The sequence below is a fragment of the Homo sapiens genome, chromosome 2 (assembly GCF_000001405.40).
Source record: "Homo sapiens chromosome 2, GRCh38.p14 Primary Assembly".
NCBI classification, from domain to species: domain Eukaryota; kingdom Metazoa; phylum Chordata; class Mammalia; order Primates; family Hominidae; genus Homo; species Homo sapiens.
Genome location: NC_000002.12, coordinates 6,840,487 through 6,867,169, shown reverse-complemented (window position 1 = coordinate 6,867,169; position 26,683 = coordinate 6,840,487). Strand labels below are relative to the sequence as shown.

At 44.6% G+C, this 26,683-nt stretch overlaps 2 protein-coding genes across 5 annotated transcripts in view, besides 3 other annotated features; one reads left to right on the top strand and one right to left on the bottom strand.

Moving 5' to 3' along the window:
- Nucleotides 1-1,285, bottom strand: part of RSAD2 (radical S-adenosyl methionine domain containing 2) — a 32,355-nt gene extending 31,070 nt beyond the window's left edge. The window contains exon 1 of the mRNA NM_001410702.1: nucleotides 1,125-1,285. Coding sequence (NP_001397631.1) covers nucleotides 1,125-1,266 — 142 coding nt within the window. The 5' untranslated portion in view covers nucleotides 1,267-1,285. The remainder of the gene's footprint in view (nucleotides 1-1,124) is intronic.
- Nucleotides 535-26,617, top strand: CMPK2 (cytidine/uridine monophosphate kinase 2). 4 transcript variants are annotated; one of them, NR_046236.2, is made up of 5 exons: nucleotides 535-744; nucleotides 3,592-3,706; nucleotides 5,785-5,986; nucleotides 15,487-15,720; nucleotides 17,197-18,854. NR_046236.2 is itself a non-coding variant. In NM_207315.4 (5 exons), the coding sequence occupies exons 1-5, from the start codon at nucleotides 1,474-1,476 to the stop codon at nucleotides 17,318-17,320; spliced, it is 1,350 nt and encodes a 449-aa protein (NP_997198.2). In that variant the 5' UTR covers nucleotides 1,263-1,473; the 3' UTR covers nucleotides 17,321-18,854. The 4 variants fall into 4 exon arrangements, 3 of the variants coding, with proteins under 3 accessions (NP_997198.2, NP_001243407.1, NP_001243406.1); NM_207315.4 differs by lacking the exon at nucleotides 535-744 and adding an exon at nucleotides 1,263-2,148; NM_001256478.1 differs by lacking the exons at nucleotides 535-744; nucleotides 15,487-15,720; nucleotides 17,197-18,854 and adding exons at nucleotides 1,351-2,148; nucleotides 26,492-26,617.
- Nucleotides 1,003-1,272: a silencer, noted in NCBI's record as "silent region_11121". NCBI's record gives its function as "represses an Ori minimal core promoter by ATAC-STARR-seq in GM12878 lymphoblastoid cells {active_cell/tissue: GM12878}" and the evidence as "EXISTENCE:reporter gene assay evidence [ECO:0000049][PMID:35858748]".
- Nucleotides 1,273-1,492: an enhancer, noted in NCBI's record as "active region_15245". NCBI's record gives its function as "activates an Ori minimal core promoter by ATAC-STARR-seq in GM12878 lymphoblastoid cells {active_cell/tissue: GM12878}" and the evidence as "EXISTENCE:reporter gene assay evidence [ECO:0000049][PMID:35858748]".
- Nucleotides 1,513-1,952: a silencer, noted in NCBI's record as "silent region_11120". NCBI's record gives its function as "represses an Ori minimal core promoter by ATAC-STARR-seq in GM12878 lymphoblastoid cells {active_cell/tissue: GM12878}" and the evidence as "EXISTENCE:reporter gene assay evidence [ECO:0000049][PMID:35858748]".
- Nucleotides 26,618-26,683: the final 66 nt, after the last annotated feature.

Sequence of the window (26,683 nt, the reverse complement as noted above, 5' to 3'; positions counted from 1 at the left end):
TCCAGAGAGGTGGATGGCATAGGGAAAAGGTCAAGCAGGCTTGAGGATGCAGTACTGTCTTAGAGAAGAAAAGGGAGTAACTAGAAGACTCTTACTTCCATATACTACATACACGTGAAACCACCGGTACATGCTAAATGTCCAAAAGTGAAATTCCTGAGAAAGAATAAAAACTATTCTATTCTCAAAGAGCTAAAAAATTTTAAACTCCTAATTCTTCTTTCTTCTTAGCCTATTAACCCACACTCCAACCACCTATCTATATTTCACGTTTGTTAAGACTTTTTTTTTCAGAATTAAATATAATCCCAAGTTTAAGTCCAATACTATTAAGACATAAAAAAAAAACTGCTTTCAGCTCATCTAATGTTTTCAATCTTCGTCTCAATTCTATTTTTTTGAGAGAGTTTCCCTGGAGAATATTATCTTTTTGTTTGTTTTTGGTTTGCTTGACATCATTTTTAAAAGGCATCAGTTAATGAGTAAACACAGAATAAAATATCCAAATAACTGCGCAAACACTGTTACACTGTTAGGCAGTTACACTGTTAGGCAGCAACAGTGCTGATGCTGGACTGTGGCAGGCAGAGGGTGCTATCCTGACACACTTCACCTTAGTGCAGGAAACTTCAATTTGGTGGAAGAAAGGCGATTTCGAGGTGCCAATCTGGGCGACACTTCCCAGTTGGAGAGTCAGCAAAAGGGAGAGGGCAATTCCAAGAAGAGGGAAAAGCTTGTGCACAGGTGAGTGTGTGCAAAGGTGAGTGTGTGCACAGGTGAGTGAGTGCACAGGTGAGATAAGATACAGGAGAGGGAAGAGCCAGAACTGCGCCCTGTTCCCGCAGGAAAGCAGCTCTGCAGGATTAGAGGGGCGGGGACGCGTGGTCAGAGCTAGGAGTTGAGGTCGGGGAGGGAGCCCATGGTCTGCAGGGCCTGGTCAGTCATCCAAGGGCAGTAGTGCGCCTGCAAGTGGGCGTTGAAGAGCCCGTTACACCGGGAAGGGACTTCTCTGTCCCTCGCGCGTGCACCCCCGCCCCCCTCCATGCACCCGGCATAAGCCGCAGAGGAGGAACTCAAACCAGGGTCGGGGCCGCCAGCCACCCGCAGAACGCACACGGAGCTACCTTGGGGCCGACGGCGCGGGGCCTCATTCGGTGTCAGCCCCGGGAGCCGGCGCCTGGGGACCGCGCAGGCCCGCGGAGCCGCGCACCTGGGGCCCCGGGGCCAAGCGTCTGCTCCCGAGCGCCGGCCGTTTATCGCGCACATCTCGCGGCGAGGAGGAGAGGCCGGAAGGGCGCCCCAGCCCCAGGGCTCCTGCCCCGCCTGGGCCTCCGGCTTTCGTTTCCCCGCAACGCTTCGCTTTCGTTTCCCGCTGGCGCCTGGCTCCCTCCGGGTTTCGTTTCCCGCCGGCGCCTGGCTCCCGCCAGGTTTCGTTTCCGAGGCGGGGCCGAGGGCGGCGTCGCTGAGGCGCCCATGGCCTTCGCCCGCCGGCTCCTGCGCGGGCCACTGTCGGGGCCGCTGCTCGGGCGGCGCGGGGTCTGCGCTGGGGCCATGGCTCCGCCGCGCCGCTTCGTCCTGGAGCTTCCCGACTGCACCCTGGCTCACTTCGCCCTAGGCGCCGACGCCCCCGGCGACGCAGACGCCCCCGACCCCCGCCTGGCGGCGCTGCTGGGGCCCCCGGAGCGCAGCTACTCGCTGTGCGTGCCCGTGACCCCGGACGCCGGCTGCGGGGCCCGGGTCCGGGCGGCGCGGCTGCACCAGCGCCTGCTGCACCAGCTGCGCCGCGGCCCCTTCCAGCGGTGCCAGCTGCTCAGGCTGCTCTGCTACTGCCCGGGCGGCCAGGCCGGCGGCGCACAGCAAGGCTTCCTGCTGCGCGACCCCCTGGATGACCCTGACACCCGGCAAGCGCTGCTCGAGCTGCTGGGCGCCTGTCAGGAGGCACCACGCCCGCACTTGGGCGAGTTCGAGGCCGACCCGCGCGGCCAGCTGTGGCAGCGCCTCTGGGAGGTGCAAGACGGCAGGCGGCTGCAGGTGGGCTGCGCACAGGTCGTGCCCGTCCCGGAGCCCCCGCTGCACCCGGTGGTGCCAGACTTGCCCAGTTCCGTGGTCTTCCCGGACCGGGAAGCCGCCCGGGCCGTTTTGGAGGAGGTAAGAGTTCTGTCCGCTTCCAGCTCCCAGCGTGGCATCTGAACCCTTCAGACCAGAGAACTGGACCAAGAGGCTGGTCTGTAGAGCCGGTTCTTGCCTGGGTGGTTTGTTTATTTCCGTTCACAAATCAGGTAGGGAAGGTGTCCTGTATGCCAGGCAACTCTTTTAAGATTCTTGTTTGCAAGGATCTTCCAACCTGACGTGGAACATAGACCTACACCAAGCCACGCGATGCTTGCTGTAAAAGCATCCCAACAGCAGTACAGAGGGAGTAAAGGGGCTGCCGGGAGTGAGGGAAAATAATGTCAGCTGGGAAGTAATTTTATTTGCTGATGATCACCATTCAAGGATCTTGGGGTGAAAAAGAAAATGCATGAGTTTAGGGGGTTTAAGAAATTTAGACTTAAATAGTGTTTACCTACCGACTGGCCATGAACCTTGTGCAGGTTACTCAACTACTCTAAGTTTTGCCCTTTGACATGTACAATTCCCATCTTGCGATGTTGTCCTGATTAAGGAAACATCTGACTCACAGCAGGTACCCACAGAAAGAGACTGAAAATTCTTTCTGATCGCAGGCTAGGCAGATGTCCTCCTGTGACACAGATGAGCCCTGAGGATGCCCCCATGGATCTTGGGAATATTTTCCAAGCTTACGGGACAGCGTTGTGGAGCAGTTAAGAGCGCAAGGTCAACCACGTGTATTTAAATTTAAACTCTGGCATTTATTAGCTGTGTCACTTTGAGCAAGTTTCTTCAACTCTCTGCCTCAGTTTCCTTAATTCATATGGTGGGAATAATAATAGCACCCCCCCACCCCAGTTCACAGAGATTGGCAACTGAATACTTGTAAAGCACTTAGAAGATTGCCATGCTCAGAGCAAGCACATAAGTGTCTGAGCCTCGCTCTGAGATGCTGTGAGCGTGCAGTGAGATAATGCACATTGAGGAACTGGGAATTCCCAGGGGGACGCTGCTCTGCCAGCTTCATGATTGCAGTGCTTGGCTGTTTATCTCAGCCCCCTGAATGGCTAGGAGAGGACATGCTGCAGATGAAGACTGCTCTCTCCAGCCCACTGTGCAGCTGATTTCCCATTCTTGTGAGACAGTGTTCCCAGCGGGCCTGTAGTTCCATGGTTGCGGTGTCACAGGACATTGTGATGATGTGCCTTGCCTGGCCTTTCTCAAAGCTGCTCAGTGAAGGCTGCAGGCCACCAAGCGATCCAGACAGGGACAGCTGTTTCGAGCCTCGGCTGCTCAATATAAAATAAAACACTCCAGTCCATCCTAGCATCGAAATACTCTGAATTCCCATGGCCTGGCACAGTGCTCAGTATAACTTAGGCCTTATTAGCATGCGGCAATATTGTGCTCAGCAATTTAGGTGTGATTTCTGCAAAAGCCCCCTGGCTTCATTGCTGATGGATAGACGTTGTTTTACAGTGTACCTCCTTTATTCCTGAAGCCCGGGCAGTGCTTGACCTGGTCGACCAGTGCCCAAAACAGATCCAGAAAGGAAAGTTCCAGGTTGTTGCCATCGAAGGACTGGATGCCACGGGTAAGATAATATTACCTTTTAGTTATAGGCAATGACACTAACTGATTAGTTGCAGAAACAGAAATACTTCCTGCAAAACCAAACTTTATATGGAGCCTTATGTGTGCCCCTACTGTGTGGCAGGCCCTGTGCTAGGCAGGCCCTGGGATGCAGAGATGAATAAGACCTTCAATATGAAGCAGCATGATGTGTGGGCGCGGATCCTCAGTGCTCTGGCGGAACACAGGAAGGGCACTGAATCTGGCCTCTGTGGGGCTTTGTCGGGTGGAGTGCATGGTCAAGGGTGATACCTGGATTGTATTTTAAGTACAGATAGGAGTTGGTCAGGTGATGAAAGCAGGTAACATCCTCCAGACAGAAGAAATAGCCTGGGCAAAGGTGCAGGGGCTTGAACCAGGGTGGTGTGTCCAGGAACCACAGGCAATTCAGAGATTCTTCTGGAGCAAAATGTGGAAGAACTAGGAAATGGAAGAAAAAAAAGCCTTCTGAGCTGTCAAACTGAGGTCAAAATATAATGTGTGCTCACATGAGACCAAAGTACAAAAGGGGCAGACATGCTGCTCCTGTGGCCCAGGACACACTGAGGAGAGGGTTGATGTTGGAGAACTAGCATCCGAGTGGTTCAGCGTAGGAGTTTCTCCTCCTGTGTAAACTTGAGGGGTACAGACTTTTAATAATATAAAAGGCAATTTCCATATAGAGGTACTTGTGAACCCAGCTAGGGAGATGTGGCACAGGTGATGGCCCATGTTGACCATCCTGGCTCCATGTGAAGGAGCGGGCCATGTCCTGGCCTTCAGGGAGACCAGCTGTCATCACTCAAATGTACTGGCCGTGTCCAGGACCCATCACAGTTTCTTTCAGCTGCAGAGGGAATTGTAACACCATCAATCCTTCAGCTGATGTGTTTTGTTGATCATTTATTTTGTACCCACAGCTAATTTAGATTTGGTGGGATTACAGGAGACATAAAAATTCAGCCTCAACACAAGCATCCACACATACAAATGTTACAAGGAGTTAGCATAGAGTGGCAGAAAGAACACAGGCTAGTGGTTCCGTCTGCCCTGCATTTGCATCCTGCACCAAGGCCTATCAGGAGGGTGAGTTTGGGTAAATTTATTAACTTCTCCAGTGCTCAATTTCTTCTTCTGTCAGATGATTAAATAATAACTGTTTTGCAGGGTCACTGGGAGAATTAGGAGTATAACGTGCTGAGTACTTGGCTCCTAGCAGACACTGAGAAATGGTAGCTACTGTTAGGGTCCGTCCTGACAACCTAAGAAAAAAAGAAAATAGATAGTTGGCAATAAAGTGTTAAGTGTGTGATAGAGAAACTTAAAAATAAATCGAAACAGTAGGAGCTCAGAGAAACTAGTGCACAGTGTGCTGGAGTAGATCTTCTCATCACCACCTGTCCTGAGCTCCAGGCAGCAGCTGAGAATTGTGAGATGGGCTCTGGGAAGGGACTAATCTGTCACCCGAGGCTGTGCAAGGGGGAGTCAGAAAGTCAATGAGGCCTAAGCAGTGCCTTTGAGGAGAAAGCTGAAGCCTAAAGCAGATACAAAAGCTCTAAAGGCCAAGGCCAAGCCCAAAGGGGCAAGCACAGGAGTGAGTGGTAGAACCAGGGCTGGAAATTGGAAAGGGATTGCACAGAAGTGGAAGCAGGGTATGAAGAAGGTAGAAAGAGAGGAGGGGCGAGAAGAGTTGCTGTGGATGCCAGGTGTGGGTTCATCAACTATAGACAATAAGAGGAGAGAAAGTCTTCTGGGTGGGGGACATGGTAAGAGGGTGAGCAGTAGCTGGGCTGCCGGGAATAAAAGTCACACGTAAAAGGGGCTCTTGTGTCTAGACTCCCAATATCAGATTTGATCACTAACCAGAATTTTTCCTCCGGGTTTCCTAATACCACACGGAGAAATCCTAACTTCCTATGGGTCTACAGCTTTTTATAAAGAATCCTGTTATTTAGTCTACTCATTTCATTTGCAGTTTGAGAGAACGTCTGTGCTCTTTCTACGTCAATGTTAACTTTGGGGCTGTGGTTAAGATGTATATATTTTGTGTATGACCTGCAGGTAAAACCACGGTGACCCAGTCAGTGGCAGATTCACTTAAGGCTGTCCTCTTAAAGTCACCACCCTCTTGCATTGGCCAGTGGAGGAAGATCTTTGATGATGAACCAACTATCATTAGAAGAGCTTTTTACTCTTTGGGCAATTATATTGTGGCCTCCGAAATAGCTAAAGAATCTGCCAAATCTCCTGTGATTGTAGACAGGTAGGTATAAAGATGCCTTGAATTAGGCATTTTCTCCCTAATATATAAGTGTGTGGGTGTGTGTGTGTGTGTGTGTGTGCGTGTGTGTGTATACGTACATGTATATGCCAGGAAAAAAATTGTGTTTAAGTCAAACTGTTATTATGATAATAATAGGAATTCTCCTTATGAATTGTTAATTACCTATACCAGGCACGGCATTTGCTAGAGAATTACATATATAATACTAGTATCTGGAACTATAACTTGGGTAGGTGAATGTTACATGTTATTCCCAGTTTACTGATGAGAACTATAGATCTCAGAAAGGTAAAATAACTTGCCAAGGTAAGCTGGAAATAGCATACCGGGGACATTAATGAGTCTATACTTTCAGTCATTTATTTGTTCATTGGCTTATTCAACAAATACTTACTGGACACCTCCTGTGTGCCAAAGACTAGTCTCAATTTAGAGGATTCAATGATAAACCAGTGTATTAGTCCATTTTCATGCTGCTGATAAAGACATACCCGAGATTCGGCAATTTACAAAAGAGAGCAGTTTAATGGACTTACAGTTCCATGGGGCTGGGGAGGCCTCACAATCATGGTGGAAGGTACAAAGCATGTCTCACATGGCGGCAGACAAGAGTAGAGAGCATGTGCAGGGAAACTCCCCTTTTTAAAATCATCAGACCTTGTGAGACTTATTCACAATCATGAGAACAGCATGGTAAAGACCTGTCCCCATGATGCAATTACCTCCCACTGGGTCCTTCCCACAACACATGGGAATTCAAGATGAGATTTGGGTGGGGACACAGCCAAACCATATAACTCCACTCCTGGCCTCTCCCAAATCTCATGTCCTCACATTTCAAAACCAATCATGCCTTACCAACAGTCCCACAACTCTTAACTCATTTCAGCATTAACTCAAAAGTCCACAGCCAAAGTCTCATCTGAGACAAGGTAAGTCTCTTCCACCTATGAGCCTGTAAAATCAAAAGCAAGTTAGTTATTTCCTAGATACAGTGAGGCTACAGGCATTGGGTAAATACAGCCATTACAAATGAGAGAAATTGACCAAAACAAAGGGGCTACAGGCTCCATGCAAGTCTGAAATTCAGCTGGGCAGTCAAATCTTAAAGCTCCAAAATTATCTCCTTTGACTCTATTTCTCATGTCCAGATCGTGCTGATGCAAGAGGTGGGTCCTCATGGTCTTGGACAGCTCCATCCCTGTGGCTTTGCAGGGTATAGCCCCCCTCCTTGCTGCTTTCACAGGCTGGTGTTGTCTGCAGCTTTTCCAGGTGCATGGTGCAAGCTGTCAGTGGATCTACCATTCTGGGGTCTAGTGGACAGTGGCTCTCTTCAAACAGCTCCGCTAGGTAGTGCCCCAGTAGGGACTCTGTGTTGGGGCTCCAACCCCACATTTCCCTTCCACACTGCCCTAGCAGAGGTTCTCCATGAGAGCCCCACTCCTGTAGCAAACTTCTGCCTGGACATCCAGGCATTTCCATACATCCTCTGAAATCTAGGCGGAGGTTCCCAAACCTCCATTCTTGACTTCTGTGTACCTGTAGGCTCAACACCACATGGAAGCTGCCGAGGCTTGGGGCTTTCCCCCTCTGAATCAAGAGCCTGAGCTGTACCTTGGCCTCTTACTCAAGGCTAGAGTGGCTGGGACACAGGGCACCAAGTCTCTAGGCTGCACAGAGCAGAGGGACCCTGGGTCCACAAAACCATTTTTTTCCTTCTAAACCTCGGGGTCTGTGATGGGAGGGGCAGCAGCAGAGGTCTCTGACATGCCCTCGAGACATTTTCCCCATTGTCTTGGTGATTAACATTTGGCTTCTCATTGCTTATGCAAACTTCTGCAGCCAGCTTGAATTTCTCCTCAGAAAATGGGATTTTCTTTTCTATCACATTGTCAGGCTGCAAATCTTCCAAACTTTTATGCTCTGTTTCCATTTTAAAACCGAATACCTTTAACAGCATCCAAGTCACCTCTTGAATGCTTTGCTGCTTAGAAATTTCTTCCACCAGTTACCCTAAATTATTCTCTCAAGTTCAAAGTTCCACAAATCTCTAGGGCAAGGGCTAAATGCCGCCAGTCTCTTTGCTAAAGCATAACAAGAGTTACCTTTGCTCCAGTTCTCACCAAGTTCCTCATTTCCATCTGAGACCACCTCAGCCTGGATTTCATTGTCCATATCATTATCAGCATTTTGGTCAAAGCCATTGAACAAATCTCTAGGGAGTTCAACCTTTCCCACATTTTCCTGTCTTCTTCTAAGCCCTCCAGACTGCTTCAACCTCTGTCTATTACCCAGTTCCAAAGTTGCTTCCACATTTTTGGGTATCTTTTCAGCAGCACCCCACTTCTGGTACCAATTTACTGTACTGGTTCATTTTCACACTGCTGATAAAGACGTACACGAGACTGGGCAATTTACAAAAGAAAGAGGTTTAATGGATTTACAGTTCCATGTCGCTGAGGAGGTCTCACAGTCATGGTGGAAGTTACGGCACATCTCACATGGCAGCAGACAAGAGTAGAGAGCTTGTGTAGGGAAACTCCCCTTTTTAAAACCATCAGATCTTGTGAGACTTAGTCACTATCATGAGAACAGCATGGGAAAGACCTGCCCCTGTGATTCAATTACCTCCCACTGGGTCCCTCCAACAACATGTGGGAATTCAAGATGAGATTTGAGTGGGATCACAGCCAAACCATATCAATGAGATAGATAAGTCCCTATTTTCATGGAGCAAACTTAACATTATAGGAGAAGAAAAGTATCAGGTGAACAAATACATAAAATAATACATAAGATGAGGTAAGATAATATCAAAGCATGATAAATGCAGGGAAGAGGAAAAATCAAAGTAATGTGCTAAAAAACGGCTAACCCTCCACTAGATATGGTTTAGGAAGGCCTGTCTGAGAAAGCACCATTAGTCAGAGCCCTGATTTAAAAAAAAAAAAGGCAAATGTGAAAATTCCCGGGTTAACAGAAAGCACTGTGGAGAAAGAAATCTGCAAGAATGAAGCTAAGACTGAAATAAGCTAACATATCTGACAACTAGAAAATGTTATATGTTCTGAGAACATAGTAAATGTGGAGGTGCTTTGTGGATGAATGGGAAGAGGAAGGTTGGGGCAGGTCTGTAGGGCTTGTAGGCCATTCATAGAATGGATTTTATTCTGAGTGCACTGGGGAGCCATTGGAATGTTTCTGATAAAGGAGAGACATAAACTGATTTATACTTTAAAAATTCACCTGTAAGAAATAGCTTCACTTTGGGAGGCTGAGGTGGGCGGATCATGAGGTCAGGAGATCGAGACCATCCTGGCTAACACGGTGAAACCCCGTCTCTACTAAAAATACAAAAAATTAGCCGGGCGAGGTGGTGGGCACTTGTAGTCCCAGCTACTCGGGAGGCTGAGGCAGGAGAATGGCATGAACCCCAGGGGGTGGAGCCTGCAGTGAGCTGAGATCATGCCACTGCACTCCAGCCTGGGCGACAGCGAGACTCCGTCTCAAAAAAAAAAAAAAAGAAAAGAAAAGAAATAGCTTTAGGTCAGGTGCAGTGGCTCACACCTGTAATCCAAGCACTTTGGAAGGCTGAGGTGGGAAGAGTGCTTGAGCCCAAGAGTTCAAGACCAGCCTTGATAACATAGTGAGACCTTGTCTCTACAAAAAATATTTAAAAAAATAGCTGGGTATGGTGGCACCCACTTGTAGTCCCAGCTACTTAGGAGACTCAGGAAGGAGAATCCCTTAAGCCCAGGAGGTCGAGGCTGCAATGACAAAGCAAGAGGATGACACAGCAAGAGGGGCCTTGTCTCAAAAAAAAAAAAAAAATCCCAAAAACAATAAAACAAAAAACAAAAAAGAAGAAAAAAATAGCTTTAAAAATACTATAAGAAAGAGGAAAGGATATGACAAGCAGGTCATACTGAACTTACATCACGATGACAAATGGATGAGAAGATTATAATCACCATGAGATTCCATTTTACTCCCATCTGGATTTCATTTTACTCCCCTCCAGTTGGTGAAACTACTATAACTAAAGGTTTCTTCATATGATATGGATCAATAGAAACTCTCATATGATGCTAGTCAGAACATATCATATGATAGTAGCATAATCACTTAGAGAGCAGTTTGAAAAGATGTAGCAAAGTGGAAGATTGCTCCTGCCTACTGAAGAAACACTCACAAAAGTTTCTTTCAGCTTCCTTCATACTGTTGCAAAATTTGAAAAACCTAAAGCCCATCAACAGGAGAAAGCATAAATAAATACCAGCATATGTATAAGGTGGAAAACCATACAGCAGCAGTGTAAATATGTTGTGCAATGCATGAGGGCACACACATTACAAAACCGTAATGTTGAATGAAAATGTCAAGTTGCCAAAAGATGTTTATTCAGTAGAATACATGCAGTTATCCATACTGCAAAGAGTAGAGAGATGAAAGGATGTTGAACAGCAGATTTAAGAAAGTTGTTCTCTGGGAAGTAGAGATAAATGTGGTTGATAAGGAGATCAGAAGGACTTTGATTGTGATTGGATTATTTCTTAACATTTCTTGAATGTTCATTTTCTCCAAAGATTTACTTATTTTTGTAAACATAAGCAATTGCATTTAAGTATGGCATAGTTGGTAAAGAACATTAATCATAAATGTAAATCTCAAGGAATTTCAAGAAGTGAACACAGTCAAGTCACCTGTACCCAGATCAAGAATGAGAGCCTGCCACAGCCCCTACACCCCTGTTCTGCCCCCACCCAGTCACTGCCCATTTCCTCCCCAGGGGTAGCAACTGTCCCAACTGCCATAGCCATATATTAGTTCTGCCTGTTCTTAAACTGCCTACAGATGCAACTATTTGTTAGGTATGGAGTTTTATTTGCACCTGACTTCTTTCATACCACATGTGTTTTGAAGATTTGCCTGTGTTGTTGTGAACTAAATTTTATGCATTTTTGGTGCACATATGGATGCAGTTCTGTTACATAGGTTCCCAGGAGCAGAACTGCAGGGGCATGGGGTTTGTGGCTGTTCAGGTTTGGTAGATGTTGCAAAAAGTATTCTAAAGAGGTTGAAAGAATGTTGAGTCTCCTCCCCTCCCCACAGCAGTATTTGCCAATTCCCTGTGACTAACAGCCCTGTTGACATTAGTATTACCAGGCTTTAATTTTGACTCCTCTAGTTTTTCCACTTGTTCCTGGTGGGTAAGCTGGTCACTGAAAAGCTGATTTGTCCTATCTGGACACAGAACTACTACTCCTTTCTTGAAAGTATATCTTTTTCTGTACACTTTTCTGTATGTCTGAAATATTCCATCAAGAGACCACCCTGACTGTATGTGGAGAATAAAGTGTGTGGTGGGGGAGGGGCAAGAAAGGAAAAAGAATCAGCTAGAAGGCTGTGGCTGCAGTCTAGGCTGTGATGGCCCTTGAGTAGTTTTAATCCTGGGATGACAATAGGGATGGCAATGGGGATAACAATAATAATTTCAAGGTTGGCAAGTTACATGGAATCTTAGGATGAACTGAGAAGGATACGAAATCTTGTTCCTTTATGGGAAGGCTTTGCCTGGAAAATGTTTTTGCCCTATTGTTAACATGCCCGATGTTATCATATGTGATATCTGTATTAGTTCTTTCTCACACTGCTATAAAGACGTACCTGATACTGGGTAATCTATAAAGAAAAGAGGTTTAGTTGACTGACAATTCTGCATGGCTATATGGGAGGCATGGCTGGGGAGGCCTCAGGAAACTTGCAATCATGGTGGAAATTGAAGAGGAAACAATGGCAACAGGAGAGAGAGAGAGAGAGGCAGGGGCAGGGGCAGGGGCAGAGGCAGAGGCGAGAGAGCAGGGGGAAGTGCTACACATTTTAAACACCCAGATCTCATGACAACTCACCATCACGAGAACAGCAAGGGGGGTGTCTGCCCCCATGATCCAGTCAACTCCCACAGGGCCTCATCTCCAACAATGGGAATTATTAGGTTGGTGCAAAAGTCATTGTGGTTTTTGATATTATTATTAATGGCAAAAACCGCAATGACTTTTGCACCAACCTAATACCCTTTGGCATGAGATTTTGGTGGGGACAAAGAACCAAACCATATTGACATCTTTTTTGATACAGTCCCCTTTATTTCCAAGAGAAAGACTAAGGTTTTCCTAGTAGGGTATGACTTTCGAGGTCCATTATGTCCTAGGATGCCTGCGGATCCTGAAGCAGCACTGGCCACTGTGTGCAGGCAGGGATTTCTGCACTCTGTCCCCCAGTTTTCTGATCTGTTAAGTGGGGATACTCATGCCCCCTTCCCTGCCTACTGTCAAGAGTTGTGATGATGATTCAGTGAGTGGATGTGTGTGGAAGTACCCTGAAAATAGGAAATTGCTATTAAAATATAAAGCATTATTATATGAGCAGTGTATAATGTGTTGGCAAATTGCTTTTGATTTGAACTAATGTGGCTTCCCTGATAGCAGGAGTGGAGAATACTAAATAGTGGGAAGCGTCTGAAATTGATGGGCTAAGGGTGCAATTATTTAAAACAAGCAGCCGTATTTTCAATGGGAGAACTCTATAGGAAACAGGTCCTTAATTCTTCCCTTGATTTGTCTTCTTTGTGTGTGTGAATTGCCTGCAATTTAGTTCTTTAAAGAAATGCTGTATCACCTTGTCAGATGAAAAGAAAAGAGCAGTTATTTGTTGTCTTTGTGGATTTTATTCATGTTTAAAGATTTTAATAAAATCCATTTTAGACAGTACCATTATCTAGCTGAAAAATATGAGAGACAGTAATTTTTAACGGGGACTGTGGTTAAGGTTGGAGTCTTAATCACCCCATTACCTTTAAAAATCTATTCTTGCTGGTGACTTTTCTACAATAAAGAAGACTTTAAAAATAAGATAATATCAGACTCTATATTCATAGGTAGGTATTTAATTCAATGAATCTGGAGCATGTGCTGACCATGGTGTAAATTATAGTTTAAGTACCAGAAAAAGAAAACTGAGACCCTAATTGGCTTTTTTTGAGCTTGAGGGACAAAATTCATCTGGCAGAGAGAGTGAAAGTACAAGTTTGTGAGTAACAGGAGTTGGGTAAGTAACACATAGGAAGGTGTCCAGGCAGAATTCACAGGAGCTGGCAGTGGCCTGAAGCTCTCAGAGCACACTTTTGGAGGTGAACAAGGGCTTTGAAGGATGGATGGTGTTGAGATTATCAACTCCCAAGTGAATTTTTCTTTTTTTTTTTTAGATGAAGTCTCGCTCTGTTGCCCAGGCTGGAGTGCAGTGGCGCGATCTCGGCTCACTGCAAGCTCTGCCTTCCGGGTTCACGCCATTCTCCTGCCTCAGCCTCCCGAGTAGCTGGGACTACAGGTGCCCGCCACCACGCCCGGCTAATTTTTTGTATATTTAGTAAAGACGGGGTTTCACCATGTTAGCCAGGATGGTCTCGATCTCCTGACCTCGTGATCCACCCACCTCAGCCTCCCAACCAAGTGAATTTTTTACTTGTTTCCTTTTCAGTGCTGTCCTGTGTTCTGTTATCATAATTTGCAATGATCCGGCTTTAGTTATAACCAGTGTCTGATAAGAATTAGATATTTATCTTATAGTAACAGTGTGATACAGTTTTTTTTAAGCACTTGTCTGTATTTGTAACAACTATGGAAGGAAAACAAACCTTGCATGATCTGTGTTTTCCAGATGAGGAGATGGAGGCTATATTAGCTTAGATGACTTTTACCTACATGTACAAAACAGGTGGGGCGGGGGACACAGGCAGAATAATGTACAGTTCAGGTAACACAGGGAATTTATTATGTGGATACCACTGTGTACTTTTCACTGTGGAGAGGAGTTCAATTCTAAAATGATCAAAATTTTAGGATTTTAAAGAATTGGGCCGGGCATGGTACCTCACGCCTGTAATTCCAGCACTTTGAGAGGCCAAGGCGGGTGGATCACCTGAGGTCAGGAGTTTGAGACCAGCCTGGCCAGCATGATGAAACCCCATCTCTATTAAAAATACAAAAATTAGCCGGGCGTGGTGGTGCATGCCTGTAATCCCAGCTACTTGGGAGGGTGGGGCAGGAGAAATGCTTGAACCTGGGAAGCAAAGGTTGCAGTGAGCTGAGATCGTGCCACTGCACTCCAGCCTGGGCAACAGAGTGAGACTCCACCTCAAAACAAAAATAAAGGATTGAAGGTGGTAATTTGAAAGTACAAATGAGGAGGGGCCCCTGGGTATCTCTACGTTGGAATGTTTATATCATAAATATTTATTGTGAGTGATGGTCCTTTTATATTGGATCTGAATTGTCCATTTAGTCCTTTAAAATTGGAAGATGGCATGAACAGGGCAAGAGTATAATAAACTATGCTGATAAATGAAATCGTTCTAATTCATTTATTCATTTATACACCCAAATAACATTCTTTCATTGCATATCTATTATGTGCCAGACATGCATTACTAAAAAAGATTTCCCACTCAAGAAATTACCTAATGGAGGAGACAATAGATATTACACTTATAACAAGTAGTTCTGATTTGCAATGAGGAGTTTTTCAGTAGAGTCACGTAGAAAGGGTTTTGAGAGCACAGAGGAGAAAACAGTCAATTCTGTTTGGGGGCTTCCTAGGAGTCTGAAGGGAGAGGAGAGTTTTGCTGGCTGAGAACCTCACTCTCACCAGAGGAAAAGGTAAGCAGGTGCAGACTAGGAGGGATGTTCTGTGTCTTACCAGAAGACCAAGCATTTCCTGTAGGTTGTAGGAAGCCACTAGGCATTTTTAAATAGAGACTGATTTGACTTTTGTGTATGGTAATAACTTTGTTTTCCTCCCCCAAAATCACTTTTTAAAACAGCCAGCAGAAGGAGCGACTGACTTGCTTAGGGAGGACTTTCATGGAGCTGGGCAGGGCATATTTGTCTCCCTGTCTCATACTGAGGCACCATCAGCAGACTGGATAGTTGGGAGAAACAAAGAGGCTTCTACCTCAGGGGTCCCAGAATGTGAATTTCATTGGCAAGTTCAAGTGAAAACAGTGTAGGAACTGACATGGCCTTTCCAGGATTTTAGTCTGCCAAGACACAGCCCTTAAATACAAATGAACTGCCAAACAGGTTCATTGTCCCCTGTCACCCTCCATTCTTTCATAGAGGAATGCGGACAGCAGGACCAAAAAGATGTGATGACAGAGGGGAGGCCACACTAAATGGTAGTTTGAGATGGGTCAATGGAGCTGTGTGAAGAACACACTGCATTATTACTGTTGTCAATTTTATTTTTTAAACAATATTGTATAACTTTTTTTAGTTTATAAAATTTAATTTTATTTAACTTATGCAATACTAGAAAAACTTCTGTAGAGCCAACCCTGGTTTCATCATTCCTGGCTGCTGATTTTCAGATGCTACTTTGACTTCTTCTGCAGACAGAGAACTCACTACCCCATTCCTTCTCAGGTACTGGCACAGCACGGCCACCTATGCCATAGCCACTGAGGTGAGTGGGGGTCTCCAGCACCTGCCCCCAGCCCATCACCCTGTGTACCAGTGGCCAGAGGACCTGCTCAAACCTGACCTTATCCTGCTGCTCACTGTGAGTCCTGAGGAGAGGTTGCAGAGGCTGCAGGGCCGGGGCATGGAGAAGACCAGGGAAGAAGCAGAACTTGAGGCCAACAGTGTGTTTCGTCAAAAGTAGGTGTCCCAGTGCAATGCAATGTGAGCGGCAGGCATTCCTGAAGGGAGATGAACCACTGGCACTGGCTTTAGGATTGTGAGGAAGTGATATTGTTTCCAGTTTTCAAACACAAGAGACAACATCCTCTAAGTTACTTCAGCCCCTTCCAATGGGCTTGTCACCACAGGGCTGCAGCATTGTTATCTTAAAGCAAAGGTCATCGGACTAGGGATCAGACCCTGCCACTGATCCTGGCTGTGCTAGGAGCAGCTGCACCTGGGTAAGACAGTAAGTGTCTCTGTGCCTCAGTTTCCCCAGTCATAGTATAATCACACAGAGCACTAGATAACGAGCTCATAGTAACATCTACCTATTAGATGCTTCCCGTGTGTCAGGCATTTTACTGATGTTATGTCATCCTTGTGAGGAAAACATTAGCCGTATTTTACAGTTTACAACTTTAAGGCTCAAAGGATTAAGTGATTTGTCTAAATGTACATAACTATTCACTAGTAAAACCGGGATTAAAATCTTTCTGATTTTGCAGCCAGTGTTTTTGTTTTAATTAGAAAGTTATAAACACGACTGCAGAAGAGAGTCTGGCCAGGCCTCCTGCCTCATGACTGAGTATGAATCAGTTCTACACCACTGCCTTTAAAAACTGAAGCAGAAATATTTTCTCTAACTGAACAATGATAGCCCTGTTATCATAACATAGTAATGTTATAAATAATGGTAGCTGCTGTGGGTAAAGATATTATGTTAAGCAATTTACTTGTATTAATTCCATTAAACTTCAGTGAACATTTGCAAGGAAGGTACGGTTTCAGTCTTCATTTTGCAGAACAGGAAACTGAGACACAGAGAGGAGAAGAGATTTGACCAATTCACTTGGCTAGGAAGTGGTCAGGCAGAGTTGTGAATGCAGACGATCCACCTCGACACCCCTATTTTAACCACAGTGCTATAAGGATTCCATAAAGAAACAGGCACTAGTCACTCTGTATACACATGAAGGCTAGCTAGCATGGAAAGGATATGTAGATTTCTGGCAAAATATTAGAAGAGTCCCATGCATATATTAAGGACTGTGGCTTGTATGAAAATTATTCAGGGCACAGACTTGGGGGAAATTTGCCACTGAACAAATTACCTAAATTCTTTGAGCTTCAGTTGCCTTCTCTGCAAAACAGGGATGACAATAGTCTTCCCTCCTAAGGTTACTTTGAGAATTAAATGAGAAAAATCATGCAAAATGCTAATGCTTGGCAGAAAACAGGTATTCAACAAGTGCTAGCTATTAAACATTATTATTCATTTATTATTTGTTAAACAAAATGCATGAACGTCTTCTGTGGGCAAAGCTAGTTACAGTGAGATAAATGACATGGGAAGCTTGCTTCAAGCTATTTATACTATGGTAGGAAAAGAACATTAATGCAAATAGCTGTGTGAAAAAGTAGACCAACTCTTTGTGTTTTGCCTGTCCCCAGGGTAGAAATGTCCTACCAGCGGATGGAGAATCCTGGCTGCCATGTGGTTGATGCCAGCCCCTCCAGAGAAAAGGTCCTGCAGACGGTATTAAGCCTAATCCAGAATAGTTTTAGTGAACCGTAGTTACTCTGGCCAGGTGCCACGTCTAACTAGATTAGATGTTGTTTGAAACATCTACATCCACCATTTGTTATGCAGTGTTCCCAAATTTCTGTTCTACAAGCATGTTGTGTGGCAGAAAACTGGAGACCAGGCATCTTAATTTTACTTCAGCCATCGTACCCTCTTCTGACTGATGGACCCGTCATCACAAAGGTCCCTCTCATCATGTTCCAGTGAGAGGCCAGCGATTGCTTTCTTCCTGGCATAGTAAACATTTTCTTGGAACATATGTTTCACTTAATCACTACCAAATATCTGGAAGACCTGTCTTACTCAGACAGCACCAGGTGTACAGAAGCAGCAGACAAGATCTTCCAGATCAGCAGGGAGACCCCGGAGCCTCTGCTTCTCCTACACTGGCATGCTGATGAGATCGTGACATGCCCACATTGGCTTCTTCCACATCTGGTTGCACTCGTCATGATGGGCTCGCTGCATCTCCCTCAGTCCCAAATTCTAGAGCCAAGTGTTCCTGCAGAGGCTGTCTATGTGTCCTGGCTGCCCAAGGACACTCCTGCAGAGCCATTTTTGGGTAAGGAACACTTACAAAGAAGGCATTGATCTTGTGTCTGAGGCTCAGAGCCCTTTTGATAGGCTTCTGAGTCATATATAAAGACATTCAAGCCAAGATGCTCCAACTGCAAATATACCAACCTTCTCTGAATTATATTTTGCTTATTTATATTTCTTTTCTTTTTTTCTAAAGTATGGCTCTGAATAGAATGCACATTTTCCATTGAACTGGATGCATTTCATTTAGCCAATCCAGTAATTTATTTATATTAATCTATACATAATATGTTTCCTCAGCATAGGAGCTATGATTCATTAATTAAAAGTGGAGTCAAAACGCTAAATGCAATGTTTGTTGTGTATTTTCATTACACAAACTTAATTTGTCTTGTTAAATAAGTACAGTGGATCTTGGAGTGGGATTTCTTGGTAAATTATCTTGCACTTGAATGTCTCATGATTACATATGAAATCGCTTTGACATATCTTTAGACAGAAAAAAGTAGCTGAGTGAGGGGGAAATTATAGAGCTGTGTGACTTTAGGGAGTAGGTTGAACCAGGTGATTACCTAAAATTCCTTCCAGTTCAAAGGCAGATAAATCTGTAAATTATTTTATCCTATCTACCATTTCTTAAGAAGACATTACTCCAAAATAATTAAATTTAAGGCTTTATCAGGTCTGCATATAGAATCTTAAATTCTAATAAAGTTTCATGTTAATGTCATAGGATTTTTAAAAGAGCTATAGGTAATTTCTATATAATATGTGTATATTAAAATGTAATTGATTTCAGTTGAAAGTATTTTAAAGCTGATAAATAGCATTAGGGTTCTTTGCAATGTGGTATCTAGCTGTATTATTGGTTTTATTTACTTTAAACATTTTGAAAAGCTTATACTGGCAGCCTAGAAAAACAAACAATTAATGTATCTTTATGTCCCTGGCACATGAATAAACTTTGCTGTGGTTTACTAATCTATGCTGTCATCCTGGGTACATATTGATTTGTCTGAAAAGTGCTTTCTCAGATTCCCCTTTTAATATTGTGATGTAAAGGAGGGAAATTTTGGTAAAGGAAGTTGAAAGGTGTGAGCTGGCAGGCTAAGTGGAATTTGTGGTCAGAGTGCTTTCAGAGAAAGGGGAGGGCTATTGTTTTATTTTACATATCATTTCCTCATTACAAATATTAAAGACATTTTGTAATTCATTCTTTTTACACCTGGACTTTTTATATACTGATAGGTATATATGACTTACGAGTATTTTGTAAAATAGCACCTCCTACCCTAAAACTGATGGCAAGTAACCCTTTGCTTGGCTCTGCTCATTGCAAGACGAGCTTTGGTTTTGTTCCTGTGATAGACCATTAGTTACCCCAAAATTTATTCTTCCTTTCTTCCATGGTAATGTAATATTTAGCTTGGTACATGGGTGCCAATAATTCCTAGTGCATTTCCAAGGCTCCCTTAACAGCTGGAGGTGGGCGACTGGCTAGTTTCTTGCCAATAGTATGTGAGCAGAAGGAATACCTGAAATGTCAAGGGGATATTATCACTTTCCCCTTTAACTCTTCATATCGGCTGTATTCAGAGGTGATAGCCATCTAAGGACCAAGAGATGAGGATGACACTAAAAGGAATTAGCTTGCCTTAGGTAAATAGCAAGGGAAGGGTCCCCAGAGAGCCCTCGGCCCACCAGTCAGTGCCTCACCCCACATAATGTAAAAAGCAGCCTGGGGAAAAAATCAAGCTGCAGGCACTGATAAGGGAACTAGCACAGGGTGTTGTGCCTGGAGACATGCCTACGGCTGCACAGATAGGAGAGCCTCTGGCCCATTCAGATAAAAGCTTGCACAAACCTCTGGCTCACTCAGATGAGGGAACAAGTCCTGGCATAAAAACACCTTTGTCCTTTGTATAGTCAGCAGGCTCCCAGGAAAAAGTTTTTTTCTCCTTTTGTGGGCGTGGGCACAGTGGGCTCCAGTTAGTTCCAGTGGGCACTTTCCTTGCCAGTTTTTGGACTGTGAGTCTGGCCTCTGTGAATCATAACTTCAGCCCCTGATTGGTCCCAGGCAAAGGTCCTAGGCCAGGCTTTCTGATTGGTCCTGGGCCAGGGTGCCTGGCCAAGCTGAGTCATGCCTTCTCCAAGACAGCCGGTAGACTAAGCACATTCATTCCCCTTTCCAGCCCGTAAAACCCCCACAACTGGCCTCATAGTGGGCACCCCATTAGAGCTCCCCCTTCTGCTGGCAGAGAGCTTTCTTTTTTCGCTTATTAAAGTTTCACTCCAACTTCACCCTTGTTGTCTGCACTCCTTAATCTTCTTGGAATTAGGACAAAGAACTCTGGATATTATCTCAGACAACGGGAGACTGTTACATCTTGGTGCATTGGTAAGATTACAACACATTTTGGTGCATTGGCTGGGAAGAAGGGAATTCATCAGAAGGATGATTAAGAGTTGACCTTTAACTTTCACCTTTACTTGCATTTCTGAGGCTTCTTGTCTATTCCAGTCTAGTTTGCTTTCACAGAGGGCCTAGCCATCATGTGGGATTGGAAGGTCCCAGGGCAACTGAAGGTTTCTGGCTGGGGCTACCCCCTCAGTGTTATCTGAAGGCCCTTGGACTAACTCCAGTCCCCTACAGCCCATCAGGGAGTCAGCACAAAGACTTGCAATCTTTTCCTATTGCATTTTCCTTCTTTCTTCTTGTGGCTATCATGTCTCCAACCTCTTCTTTCTATGCAATGTTGTGGGTGTTTTTGTAACCTAGGGATATAATCTTGCGGAGTAGAGTTAGTTGGTATCTTAATAATCAAGAATGTAATTCAAAGAGTTGTTGTTTTTGTGATTTCCTGGAAACAGGGAATTCAAGACTTCAGTCTAAATTTTCACCTAGTAAGGGCCTTTCTATCCCTCAATAATAGACATTCATGGCACCATATGGGAGGATCTTTCACCCCGAGTGAATATCCTCGTCTCCTTTTGGGTTGTTTTTTTCCTCCATATAATAGCTCAGCATTGTCCAGTGAATTTAAACAGTTCTTTTATGAGAGAAGTTAATTTTCTTACGGTCTGGGCTTGCTATGGGGGCAACCTATCAAACCCCAAATCTCTCTTTCTAACTTTTGCCTGAAAAGAATTTGGAGTCAGAGTTTTTACCTAACATTTCTAACCCTACAATGCCACCTAGTGGAAAGGAATTTTTCTCCCTGGGGAGCCTTATCATCCCTCTGCCCCAAACTCCTTGTTTCCCAATTCTTTTCCCTTTTACGTTCCTCTATCAGTGATCAGAGCCCATGTCCTATTTGTAGACCAAACAACAAAAAAAATCTCCACTTTCAACAGCTGGGAGGTAGCCATCCTGATAAGACAAATCTTAGCTTCAATACTCTCCCCATCAAAGGAATGGCAGCCATTCAATTCTTATGCTCATTTGAGGCACCTGTTCTGCATTCAACTACAATGGGATTTTTTAAAAAAGGAATTTTATGTTTGGAAGTTAATCAGTCCCATTCTGTGGAATTCTGATTTTTCACTGGGGCTATAGCAAGGGAAGCCACAGATGGTATTAGGACATTCCCTGCATTAAAGAGTCTTGCCCAAACCCAACTACTACAGAATCTCTCCTAGGCCTCTTAGGGTACTTTGGGAGCCTTTTGGGTTGAGTGGGTCTAGGAATCCAGCAGGGCAGAAAGCTAGAGCCTTATGCAGGTGAGCATGACTAGTCCTGCCCTACTGGCTCCTCTGGATCCATGGGTGAAGGATATGCTTGCATCCATGGGGCGGCACCTATGATGGCTGCAGGGACCCAGAGGAGAGAAGGAAGGAGAAGAGGAATGCCTTTTCTCTCTTTCCCTCCACCCTGGGTAACGCAGAGAGGAGGAAGGGGACTGAGGGATGCCTTGTCTCCCATCTCTTATTAGATGGGTAACAAACCATCTGCAGTCTGTAATCTCCTCGAGTGCATTCTGAATCACTGGAACTCCTTTGATGCTGAGGTTCTGATGATAAAATGGCTCATATTCTATTGTACAAGGACATGGCCTTTTTACCATCTTGGAGATGAAAAAACCTGGCTTTCTGAGGGAAGTCTTTTTTTATATACTATTCAACAACTAGATATTTTCTGTAGGCAGGAGGGTAAATGGTCCAAGGTTTACTATATACAAGCTTTCTTTGCCCTGCGAGACAACCCAAATCTTTGTAAGCATTGTACAGTTGACCCCACACTCTTGGCAGCCATGTCAGACAAGCCTACAAAAGATACTTCCCCAAAATCAGAGAGTCAAACCCTTTGGGGAATCCTCAAATGCAACTTCTGGGTGCCCTACCTGCCTCACTTATTCAGGGCTCCCAATAGCCAAATCATTAGTTCCTCTGGTTGTGCCACTTAAGGAATTCCCAACTTTGGACAGGTTCTCTGATGACCCTAATAGATGTATAGAGTCTTTCCAAAATTTAACGTAAGTGTTTTATCTTACATGGAGAGATGCTATGCTACTTTTAAGCCAAAACCTAACAGGAAGCAGAAACATTCAGAGATGAACAATGTATCTCCTATAGCCAGTCTAAAAGTCTGGAAGATAAGAAGTCTAAAAGAAGGGAGAGCAAAAGAGAAAAAGAAGGTGAACAAGTGGCAGAATCTCTATTACCAATAGGGAGGGAGGCAGTATTCCTTGAAAATCCCAGTTGGAATGCCAATGATCCCATAGATGAGTTGAATAGAAAACACTTTTGGATGTGCATACTGGAAGGCTTGAGAAGGACAAGTACCAAACCTCTTAATTATTGTAAGTTGTCCATGATAGATCAAAAACCAGATGAAAATTTCTCAGCGTTTATAGAAAGGCTGAGAGAGGCATTAGTGAAACATATCTCCCTATCTCCTGATTCAGTTGACGGAAAGCTAATCTTAAAAGACAAGTTTATTACCCAGGCAGCCCCGATATCAAAAGGAAGTTGCAGAAACTGGCCATAGGTCCAGATAGTACTCTAGAGAACCTCTTGAAAGTGGCTACTTTGGTCTTTTACAATAGAGTCCAGGAGGAAGCCCAGGAGAAGAAGAGGAAATATGAGAAAAAACAGAGGCTCTACTGGTCACATTAGAGGCCTATAAAATCCAGAATCCCCCAGGTGCATTTGCTAATCACTACCACTGTGGCAAACTGGGGCACTTAAAAGGGGTTGCCCAGACAGCAAGAAGAAGCCACCTCAACCCTGTCCACCCTGTGGTGGAGACAACTGGAAGTCAAACTGTCCCTGGAGATATAGGTTGCTAGGTCCAGAGCCAGTCTCCCAGATGGTCCAGCAGGACTAATGGGTCCTAGGGCTCAATTTCTTGGCTCCAGCAACTCGAACTGCCATTACTATCCAGGATCCCTGGTTGATTCTGGACGTAGAAAGGAGAAAGGTAGACTTCCTTCTGGACACCAGAGCCAGCCTCTCTGTTCTCCTCTCCAGTCCTGACCTTCTCTCCTCCCATATCACAACCATGGTGAATGTCTAAGGAAAGTCTTTAACCCAATATTTTTCATAGCCCCTCGGTTGTAGTAGGGGGGAATTGCTATTTACTCATGCCTTTTTAATCATGCCTGAGCATCCCAGTCTTTTACTAGAGATATTCTAGCCCATATGGGAGCCACCATCCTTACGGTTCCAGGACAGATTCTTTGTCTCCCCTTAGTAGAAATCAATATTAGCCCAGAGGTGTGGGCAAGTCACAGGAAAATTGGTCAGGCTGCAACTGCTATCCTGGTCCAGATTCACCTTAAGGATCCCACCTCCTTCCCTAACTAGAAGCAGTACCCCCTAATGCAGTACCCCCTCAAGGACTTTAAGCCATCATTAATAATTTAAAGGCATAGGACCTTCTTGGACCTTGCAACAACCCTTGTAACACTCCACTATTAGGGGTACAGAAACCCAGTGGGGAATGGATACTAGTTCAGGACCTCCATCTCATTAATGAAGCTGTAATTCCAATCCATCCAGTGGTTTGTAATCCTAATACTTTGCTAACTCAAATGCCTGAGGGAAATAAATGGTTCACAGTGTGGGACCTAAAGGAAGTCTTTTTCTGCATGCTATTGCACCTCCCAATACTTGTTTGCTTTAGAGGATCCCTCCAATCAGGCTACCAAGTTGACTTGGACAGTACTGCCTCAGGGATTCAGAGACAGCCCCCACTTGTTTGGGCAAGCATTATCAAAACACCTCTCTGAATTCTCTCATCCTCAGATTAAAGTTTTACAATAAGTAGATGATATTCCCCTCTGTGTCCCAACTGAGGGACTTTCTCAAAAATGCACTGAGGCTCTTCTTAATTTTCTAGCAGGTAGTGGATATAAAATTTCCAAATCTAAAGTTCAGCTCTGTCAAACTTCGGTAAGGTACCTAGGTCTAGTCTTATCAGAAGGAACCAGCACATTAGATGAGAAGAGGATTCAGCCTCTTTCCTCCTTCCCCCTTCCCAAAACCCTCAAACAGCTAAGAGGATTTTGGGGTTTTTTGCAGATTGTGGATACCTGGGTACAGTGAAATAGTTCACCCTTCATATCACCTTATAAAAGAAACTCAATAGCTGAAACTCACTCCCTGATCTGGGAACCTAAGGCTCAGAAGGCATTTAAACAGCTAAAGCAAGCTTTACTTAAAGCATCAACCCTCAGTCTTTCCATAGGGAGGGCATTTAATCTGCACATCTCAGAAAGGAAGGGGATAGCTTTGGGAGTCTTAACTCAGGCCTGAGGCCCAGCCCAGCAGCCATCCAGTAACCTAAGCAAGGAACTTGACTTGATGGCTAAAGGATGGCCAGCTTGCCTCTGAACAGTTGCAGTGGTGGCTTTGCTGGTGCCAGAAGTGACTAAGTTGAGCATGAGGAATGACCTGATTGTTTACACCCCCTATAATGTAAAGGGACTGTTATCCTCTAAAGGAAGTCTCTGGCTAACAGATAATCGCCTCCTCAAATATTAAGTTTTGCTGCTGGAGGGATCTGCAGTTCAGTTAAAGGCCTGTCCTTTCCTGAACTCAGCCACTTTCCTTCCAGATGAAATTGGAGAACCTGAACATGATTGTGAAAAAATAGTGATGCAAACCTATGCAGCCAGAGAGGACATCCAGGAAACTCCTCTAGAAAACTGAGACTGGGCTGTCTTTACAAGTAAAGTTCTATTATAGAACAAGGAACCTGTAGGGCAGGGTATGCAATAGTCACCCTGGATGACATCATTAAAAGCACACCTCTTTCACCAGGTACAGTGCTCAATTAGCTGAGTTAATTGCTGTCATGAGGGTGCTTGAACTAAGCAAAGCTAAGGCAGTTAACATATATATGGATTCTAAGTATGCTTTCCTGGTTCTTCATGCTCATGCCGCTATTTGGAAAGAAAGACACTCCCTGACTGCTAATGGCTCTTTTATTAAATACCATTAGGAAATAGATTGTTGTCCTCAGTTTTCCTTCTGCAGGAAGTGGCAATGATACATTGCAAAGGACACCAGAAGGGGATGGATGAAATAGCTGAAGGAAATAGGCTAGCAGACCAAACAGCTAAGTCAGCAGTAAGAAGACCCCAAAGTCCCAGCACACTTGAAGGCTGTCTAATTTGGGAGGGCTCCATAAGGGAAATAAAGCCTCAGTATTCTCCTGCAGAGATAGAATGGGCCACCTCTCGAGGATACACTTTTCAGCCCTCAGGATGGTTACAATCAGAGGATGGCAAATGTTATTTGTCAGTCTCCAGTCAGTGGAAAGTTCTTAAGATCCTTCACCAAACTTTTCACTTGGGAAAGAATAAAACTCATCAAATAGCCCAGAGGTTGTTCTCAGGTAAATATCTACCAAAAACAGTCAAACAAATTGTTAATGCTTATAAGATCTGCCTCAAAAACAATCCCCTCAACAAATGGCATCTCCCCATCCCCAGCAACACAAAGAATGGGAAACTGCCCAGGGGAGGACTGGCAAATGGATTTTACCCATTTTCCAAAGATAAGGGGAATTCAGCACCTCTTGTTGTGGGTGGATGCCTTCACTAGCTGGGTAGAGGCATTTCTATGTCAAACAGAAAGTCCTCTAAGGTGATAAAAGCATTAGTCAATGAAATAATTCCTCGTTTTGGACTCCCTAAATACCTCCAAAGTGACAATGGCCCCTCATTTAAGGCAGCTGTTACCCAAGGGGTCTCAAAAGCACTGAGCATACAATACCATCTTCATTGTGCTTGAAGACTGCAGTCTTCAGGGAAGGTGGAGAAAACAAATGATATCATTAAGAGACACCTCAGGAAGTGGTCTCAAGAAACTCACCTCCTCTAAACTGCTTATCTTCCTATAGCCTTAGTGCAGGTGAGGAGCACCCCTTCAAATTTGGGGTTGAAGGGGTGTTCCTTCACCCTTTTGAAATGGTATATGGACGGCCTTTCCTTACCAATGATTTTATATTACATCAGAGAACTTCTGAATTGGTTAAACATGTAACCTCCCTGGCCCAGTTCTAGCAGGAATTAAAACAGTTATCAGAATTCCAACCCCAAGAACTAGGGCCACCTCTGTTCTACCAAGGAGACTTGGTACTGGTGAAGGATTTTTCCTCTCTTTTCCCCTCTCTAGGTCCCAGCTGGGAGGAACCTTATACCATCCTTCTCTCCACCTGCTCGGCAGTGAAGTTTGTGGGACTGGAATCTTGGATTCATCACACTCGAGTCAAGGCCTGGAATGACCCCTGACATCCCAGAAGAACATCTCAGATATCAGTGTGAAAAGTCTGGGGATTTCAAACTGAAAATCCAAAAGATAAGTAAA